The sequence below is a fragment of the Homo sapiens genome, chromosome 18, assembly GCF_000001405.40.
Source record: "Homo sapiens chromosome 18, GRCh38.p14 Primary Assembly".
NCBI classification, from domain to species: domain Eukaryota; kingdom Metazoa; phylum Chordata; class Mammalia; order Primates; family Hominidae; genus Homo; species Homo sapiens.
In genome coordinates, this window is record NC_000018.10 from 76,000,643 (window position 1) to 76,009,548 (window position 8,906).

Genomic DNA, 8,906 nt, shown 5'->3' on the forward strand with positions numbered 1-8,906 from the left:
TAGACAAATTCTTGACAGATATAATCAAGATACTAAGAAATTAAATGCCATAACTATAGAAAATCAGTATTAAAGGAGTCCTTAATATAGATAAATATCTTTAAATATTAAGAATAATGTTTAAATTGCACATTAACAATGATAAAGTTTTTATAAAATGAATTGTTCTCCGGAAGAAAATTACTTAAGTTGACTTAAAAATAAAAAGAAAATTTTCAAACAGTAAAACTGAAATGATTACTAAATAAATAACTTCAAAACTGTCTCTAACTTCAGACTTTTTACCTATTTGCAGTAACAGGAAGTTCTTATGACTTTTGAAATGGAATTTTTAATTTCTTAGTCATTCACAGGTGCAGCAGATTCAAGAGTGAATGAAATTGATCCCCAGTTCTCAAGGAGCTTATATTCTGGCTAGAAGAAGTAAACATTGAACATATCAGAAAAGCTATAAACAGATCAAAAGATTGTAGAATGTCAGGGTTAAAGGCATCTTTTCCTCCAGATGCCTCTTTTTAAATAAAGACTGAAAGGATATTTCCTTAATATTAGGAATAGGTTTACATCGAAAAAGTAATCTACAAACTTAATGGGGGAAAACTGGAGGAAGTCCATTTAAAATGAGACACTGCCGGGAGGGAGGTGGGGGGGGTCAGCCCCCCGCCCGGCCAGCCGCCCCGTCCGGGAGGTGAGGGGCGCCTCTGCCCGGCCGCCCCTACTGGGAAGTGAGGAGCCCCTCTGCCCGGCCACCACCCCGTCTGGGAGGTGTACCCAACAGCTCATTGAGAACGGGCCATGATGACAATGGCGGTTTTGTGGAATAGAAAGGGGGGAAAGGGGGAAAAGATTGAGAAATCAGATGGTTGTCGTGTCTGTGTAGAAAGAGGTAGACATGGGAGACTTTTCATTTTGTTCTGTACTAAGAAAAATTCTTCTGCCTTGGGATCCTGTTGATCTGTGACCTTACCCCCAACCCTGTGCTCTCTGAAACATGTGCTGTGTCCACTCAGGGTTAAATGGATTAAGGGCGGTGCAAGATGTGCTTTGTTAAACAGATGCTTGAAGGCAGCATGCTCGTTAAGAGTCATCACCACTCCCTAATCTCAAGTACCCAGGGACACAAACACTGCGGAAGGCCGCAGGGTCCTCTGCCTAGGAAAACCAGAGACCTTTGTTCACTTGTTTATCTGCTGACCTTCCCTCCACTATTGTCCTGTGACCCTGCCAAATCCCCCTCTGCGAGAAACACCCAAGAATGATCAATTAAAAAAAAAAAAAAGAAAAAATAAATAAATAAAATGAGACACTGGACTAGAATGTCTGCTTATTTAACAGTGTTATGGAAATGTTGTTAATGGTTTAACACAATGAAAAGAAAGATATAATGATGTATAACTAGCGGATTTGATCAAATGCAATTGATCTAATGAGATAGAACTAGATTTGATCAAATACAATTGTTATTATGAAAATCAATATAAATATCCATTTATTGAGATAGCTAATAAATATATACTCAATAAATAAAATCCAAGATAGCCACTAAAAATGAATAGAAAAGAAAGAGTTGATGGCTAATTAGTGGGTTCATTCTTTATTTTCACTAAAAATAAAAAGAAAGAGGTGATGGCTAATTAATGGATTCACTATATTTTATAATTTATCAAATTATAAATTATAAAATATACATATGAAAAACAAACCTTTTCTTTATACCAGTAAAATTATAGCAGAAGATATTGCTAAAAAGAGATCCCTATCATAATTCCAACCAAAACATATGCTACAAGGAAATAAAACATAAAATTTTAAAATTCTGAAGATTTTAAAAAGCCTTGAAATACATAAAATTTTGAAAAAAGGAAAACATACAGATCGTATTTATCTATGGGATGCATGAACATTTGAAATGATATACCATTTGCCCACAAATCAAAGCAATTGAAATCAAAATTATAAATTACCTAGGGAATAATAAACAGGTGAAAATATAAAGAATATTTTGGGAACAAAAGTATGAGGGAGGCATGCAACTGACTTTGCCAAACATCAATTGATAGTCTTAAGGCGGGGCAGGCATAATAATGGAACAGAACGGAAGGCCATGAGCAGGTCAAATTCTCTGTATACTTTAGCACTTAACAAGGCATGCATTTCTCATCATGGAAGAGACTGTCAGTTAATTAAGGACAATAAATGTACTGTGTACCATATTCCATAATAAACAAAAGAAGGACCAAATAGTTCACTGTAAACCAAGAAAACAAAGATATAACAATTTAAAACAGCTAGAAGAGTTTAGAGGAGAAAAAGGGCTTTTCAGCATAAGATTAAAGGAAGAATTAATAAAGGAGGCCAGGCGCGGTGGCTCTGCAATCCCAGCACTTTGGGAGGCCGAGGCGGGTGGATCACCTGAAGTCAGGAGTTCGAGACCAGCCTGACCAACACAGTGAAACTCCGTTTCTACTAAAAATACAAAAATTAGCTGGGTGTGGTGGTGGGCACTTGTAATCCCAACTACTCGGGAGGCTGAGGCAGGAGAATCGCTTGAACCCAGGAGGCGGAGGTTGCAGTGAGTCGAGATCACACCATTGCACTCCAGCCTGGGTGAAAAAAGCAAAAGTCTGTCTCAAAAAAAAAATAAAAAGAATTAATAAAGGAATACAAACATTACAAACATTTGGTTGCAATGTTTTTAATTAGCTCCCCCCAAAAAAAATCCCAATATGAACAAAAATAGAATGTAAATGGCAAACCCAAAGGTTGTGAAAACTTTTGACAAATTGAATTATTTCCTTAATATATAAAAGATTTTACAAATCAAAGTCCAGGGAAATAAAAAAATATAACAATTGAAAAAATAATGATTACCAAATTGCATCTTTTTTTATTTAATTTTATTTTAAGTTCCAGACATGCAGGTTTGTTACATAGGTAAACGTGTGCCATTGTGCCATGGTGGTTTGCTGCACCTACCAACCCATCACCTAGGTACTAAGCCCCACATGCGTTAGCTATTTCTCCCTCCCACTGTGCCCCAAACCAGCCCAATGTGTATTGTTCTCCTGCCTGTGTCCATGTGTTCTCATTGTTCGACTCCTAGTTATAAGTGATAACATGCGGTGTTTGGTTTTCTGTTCCTGTGTTTGTTTGCAGAGGTTAACAGCTTCCAGCTCCATCCATGTTCCTGGAAAGGACATGATCTCATTCCTTTTTATGGCTGCGTAGTATTCTATGGTGTACATGTACCACCTAGAACCAGAAATACCATTTGACTCAGCAATCCCATAACTGGGTATATACCCAAAGGAATAAAAATCATTTTATTATAAAAAGACATGCACGGTACATTCATTGCAACACTATTCACAATAGCAAAGACATGGAATCAACCTAAATGCCCATCAATGATAGGCCAAATGGCATCTTTTTTAAAATTGGTATTTTCAAAACAAATCTAGAGTGTTACAATTATCAAAATATAATTAATTTGAAATTAAACAAATATTACATGCATGTATGCATACATACACATATAGATATATATGCATGTTTACATATATATATTTAATATTATACAAAGTTTATATCTTATCTATAACCAGGGACCGCAGAGTTTTACTAAATGACAAGGGTAAAAATTATCGTAATTGATAAAGAAAAGTCCAAAAGTGATACAGTTCAAAAAGAAAATATCCTAAATGTGTCCTGACTATTGCTGAGGTGTCAGGGAGGAGTTGGTGTCAGATGGTACAACAGGATTGTATTTTCTCCTGTTGAGTAATTGTGTTGCTGGTGGACCCTGATCCCCCTGGGTGCCAGCTTAGGTGACACATTGGAATCACAACCCAAAAAGAGTGACTCCATCAAGCTGTGGGTCCCCATGTCCAGGCAGCAGAGATAAGATACCACAATGAGCTGCTAGAAAGTGAAATCCTTAGACTGTCCATGCGATGCCAAGTGGCCAGTTTGTCCCTTTACTCTGCACCCATGGCCTCCATGAGGACAGAGGCTGCACATTCTCATTTTGCCTTCTCACCAGGAGGATCCTGGATTCCCTGACATTCTGGGCCCAGAGCCTTGCACCCTCTCTTGTTTCCCATTGTGTGCATTGAATATTCCTTTTTTCTTTTCTTTTCTTTTCTTTTTCTTTTTGTGAGACAGAGTGTCTCACTCTGTCACCCAGGCTGGAATGCAGTGGTGCAATGTCAGCTCACTTCAACCTCCGCCTCCTGGGCTCTGGCAATTCTCCTGCCTCAGCCTCCCGAGTATCTAGGATTGCAGGCACCTGCCACCACACCCAGCTAATTTTTGTATTTTTAGTAGAGATGGGGTTTCACCATGTTGGCCAGGCTGGTCTCGAACTCCTGACCTCAAGTGATCCTCCTGCCTTGGCTTCCCAAAGTGCTGGATTACAGGCGTGAGCCACCATGCCCGGTGCATTGAATATTTCAATATCATCTCTGCCAAGCATGAAACTTCCTCTCCAGTTGTTTTTACCTATTTTACCAATTAAAAAATGCTATGTTTTCAAACATGTCCCTATGTAAACACAAGCCAAAATATATCTTGGTCCTTTTAAGTATCCTATGCTTATATAAAGTTTTTATTTTAAAAATAGAAGATGAATGGAAATAGAGAAACAGTCATTTGTTCTCCTATAAACACAAGAACTGGATAGTATTTTATTGTATAATGGTAGGAATAAAATAATTTACTCATCACGGTCATCGTAGCCTTTCAGACGAACACTTCTGCACTCCAGGTTTTTCCACATGGCTCCTTCTCTTCGTGTCTTATCTTTTCCTTCATGTTCCTTCCTTTCACCTTCCACACCTGTTAGAAATGACACGGGAGGCGCTTGGCAGCCCGGACTCTTATGAGACACCACACAGGTGCCTTTAGAGAAACTTCCATGGAGTCTGAAAGCACTGTAAACAAGGAGCAGCCGCGAGATGGGAGAAAGTTGTTCGTCTGTCAGTTTGTACCTGACTGCACATCATAATCGAACCCAGATTTTAGAAATAACTCTTGGTGGCGCCGGCTGTCTGCAACGCAGCCCATTTCCTGCTGCTGCTGGAGTCTCAGCTCTTGCCCATTTCCCTCTCTCTCTCTCTCTGGAGGCTGCCTGGTCGCACGTCAGCCAGGAGACTTACAGGTGCGGGCTGGCCTCCCGTGAGCCTTTAGATATGTCATGCGAGTAGGCAAAGCTCCCTCCACGGAGATCTGCCAGGCCGTGGGGTTTGTGACACATGACACACAGTTTCAGCCGGTCTGGTCACAATCGTAACATGCTTCCTCTTCCCCCTAGCTGTCCCCTCTTCTTCTCTTCATAACTGCCAGGCTGGCCCACAGCTGACATCACACGCAGGAGGAGGACAGATTTCAGCTGTCAGCTCAACAGTGCAGAAACGTGCTCACCAAAAAGAAGAAGAAAAAAAGAACTGTAAACTTTTAGTAGGATAGGAAATGCTAGTTTCTTGGTGAAAAAATGGTGACCAAGACAAGGAGAAGAATTTCTTTACTGCAAGTAAATTCACCCATTAAATCTGCTCCCCACCTCCACACCCCTTGCCCCTGGGTATTGACACACCTGGGGCAGGAGCAGTCGTGGGAGAGAGTGAACAGATGCACGGACCTCATCAATCAGCTCCCTTTTATGCTCTTGAAGGAGATCCCTGAACACCATCAGGGGCTCATCCCTGGCTTACCTCACCAGCAGAGCGTTGGCAAAGTTAGCTCAAAGCAGCCTCGTTCCCATACACTCGCCGTGCGGAACAGCTTAGCTAGAGGGACCAACCGGAATCTCATCCGTCTGACCTTCCCTTGCACGACAGGGCTTCCTTGCAAAAAAGAGGCTGCAGAGAACAGAAAGCATAGTGGGAGTGCTTCACATTTTTTTCCATCAAGGATAGAGAACAACTGGGAGGGGACAACAGAAATAAAAATAGAAAAAAAGAGAGGTAAGTTACTGAAATCTAGCAGAGACAAGTACAAATCAATTACACGAAAAAGCACATGTAAAATGAAGCCACATAAATATATAAGGCACTTGCACTGTATGAAAATAATGCTGAAATTATAGAGCTGTCATCCACAGACTGTGGAGGTGCCTCTCCCTTCTTGATGTACCTCTCAGGGAAGGATGGGATGAGGCTGACATAAGACTCACCTGGGCAGGCCAGGTGCGGTGGCTCATCACTGTTAGTCCAGCACTTTGGTAGGCCAAAGTGGAGGATGGCTTGAGCCCAGGCATTCGAGACCAACCTAGGCAACATAGAGAGACCACATGTCTATGAAAAACTAAAAAATTAACTGGGTGTGGTGGCATGCAACTGTCATCTTAGCTACCTAGGAGGCTGACACAGGGGGATTGCTTGAGCCCAGGAGATCAAGGCTGCAGTGAGCTATGATCGTGCCACTCCAGCCTGGGTGACACAGGGAGATTCTGTCTCTAAAAAAATAATTTAAAAAAAAAGTTGAAAAGGCTCACTGGGCAGTGGTGGTTGGGAAGCCAGGTGGGGCGTGCCCCTCCACTGAACTCCAAGATCACGTGTGAAGGGCCCCACATGGCGGCCATACCTCAACACCAGATAACGCCTTCTGACAGTAGACCACCCTACTTGAGAAGAGCCGATCCACGGCCCCCACCAAGAAAAACAATATAAAAATAAATTAAAAATAAACCCAGAACTCGGCCATGGAGCTTGAGGAAGGTAACATTGTAGAAGTGCTATTTTCTTAGGGAGGAGAAGAAGGGTTCTTGTGAAAAGGGACCATTGTTTTCTTTCTCGAAATTTAAGTGCAAACAAAAAGGACGAAAAAGAGCTTAAGGATCTGACACAAAGGCGAACACATTCCCTTCTCGACTATCAAAAGCATGAGGAAAATTTTTAGACCTCCCAGAGATAACGTTTCCAAGTTTTATTTTCCAAACTTCACTCTTATTAACACAGCCCTGGTAGATCATTTTCGAAGTGAAGTTTTTTATATTCTCTTCACTGTTTGAAAAGAAAATATCACGCTTAGTTTTCCAATAGGTAATCTTCAGTCAGAGAAACAACTCTGTCATTGAGACTAAGGGAAATGATGTTCCTCTCACGAAGGACCTGCCAAGTGTTGCTTTTAGGGAACCAGGTGATCGCTGGGCTCCACTGCGGAGAGGACATCCGAATTCCACAGCCCGGGGAAAAGCTCCGTCTACCCTGACACATGCAGCCTGCTTTGTGCTGCACAGATATCTCCCTGACTGGCTGCGGCGTTATTGTTCAATGAAGAACTGGTTTACAGATAAAGGTGGCCCTGTCAGTTCTGAATAGCTCCAAGCTAATTGCTGACCCTAGCAGGCCCAATTAGCTGTTACACACTCAGCAAAGCGGCCCCTGGGACCTGCCCCTTCTAACATGCCACATTGTGAAACTCTCCCTGCGTCGGTACCTTGGCTATCAGCTTTGTAGTCACCTTTCAGCAGATCAAAGATTTCTTGGAAAGAATGACTGCTGTATCAGCCCCAACAGGCCCATATACAGCTGCACACACATCACAGCGAAACCCAAAGCATTCGTGGGGATGAGCAAGGACTCGACGCGGTATTCCAGTGCAGGTCTCAGAACGATGCCTTGATTGCTGTAATTTGAAGAAATAATCCCAAACATTTAGTTCCAGTAAACTCCCTGAGAAGCGACATTCGTGACAGCTCACTCACGGGCTCTGTCGCTGACACTGGATGTGCATGTCTCAGGATGGGATGGTCTTCCCATCGCCAGACCCACCTGACCTAGAGGACACGCTCACCTACACAAACACACTCAGGCACTGGCTTTCCTTCTCCTCAAAACTATGCATGTTCTTGTTCTAGAAGTCACCCAGGATCATGTTAGACAATGTGGAAAACAGACGGGGAGAAATAGAAAGGGAAGGAAGCAAACCCCAATGTCTTCTTGCAACAGGTAGACTTTGGTGATGGAATTTCCTCCTATTATAGAAGACGCCTTGTAAACATCATGGGCAGTGATGACACAATATTCTGTCCTGTGCTCGTTCACTTCCTGTTCTCTAATGCTTATGGCCACTTAAATAGTAGTTAATGTTGTTTTGCCATTATGATTTATTTCAAAAGTAAAATTAGTCTAATTTTAACCTAATCAAAACTAGGTCAAAAGATGCTAGGTTGAAGGATATTAATGCGTGTCACTAAATTGTTTTCCAGCATAATTGAAACAGTCCAGCAATCTTTAACACTGGTTACCAGATGTTCAACAGCAAAGTATTATCATTTTTTGGAAATATTTATAAAATTTTATTAGATTATTATTATAGCTGAACTTTCCCCATGTGTTTGTTAGTAGGTTATAAAAATTTTCCATGTGCTTCCTCCATTTACCAACAATGTTTATGATGGTTTTTCTAATTGCGTGCATGATTTCTTTATATAGTATAAATATTTCTCCTTTGCTGCTATTAAATATATCAACTTGTTTCATTCAGTTTTGATTTATTTTGTACGTGCATCTCTTTTTACATTTTTGGGTAGTCAACTATATCAGTTTCTGTATTTATTGTCTTACTTTATATACTAACCTATATTTCCTCTTGGTTATTTGTTAATTTTATTTATTTATTTATTTATTTATTTTGCTTTGCAAATATATCTGGAGTCAAATTTGTGAAGATTCTGTTTTCCAAATACCAAAGCAATGAACATTGCACGTGTTTTTTTACTTGAGTTATTTAATTATTTATTGGAGTATATACCCAGTAGTGGGATTGCTCGATCAAATGGCAGTTCTGTTTAAGTTCTTTGAGAAATCTCCAAACTGCTTTCCACAATGGCTGAACTAATTTGCATTCCCACCGATACTGAATAAATGTTTCCTTTTCCCCTCAACCTCACCAGCGTCTATTGT

General features: G+C 40.7%; 1 long non-coding RNA gene across 2 annotated transcripts; it reads right to left on the bottom strand.

The window, feature by feature from the left end:
• Nucleotides 1-4,421: 4,421 nt before the first annotated feature.
• Nucleotides 4,422-7,626, bottom strand: LOC105372203 (uncharacterized). Of its 2 annotated transcripts, XR_007066433.1 has the most exons (4): nt 7,438-7,626; nt 6,173-6,267; nt 5,712-5,858; nt 4,422-5,416 (listed from the first exon to the last, which is right to left on the bottom strand). It is a non-coding gene; the product is annotated as an uncharacterized LOC105372203 (long non-coding RNA). The 2 variants fall into 2 exon arrangements; XR_002958216.1 differs by lacking the exon at nt 6,173-6,267 and having other exon boundaries at nt 7,438-7,610.
• Between the last annotated feature and the right edge of the window lie 1,280 nt (nt 7,627-8,906).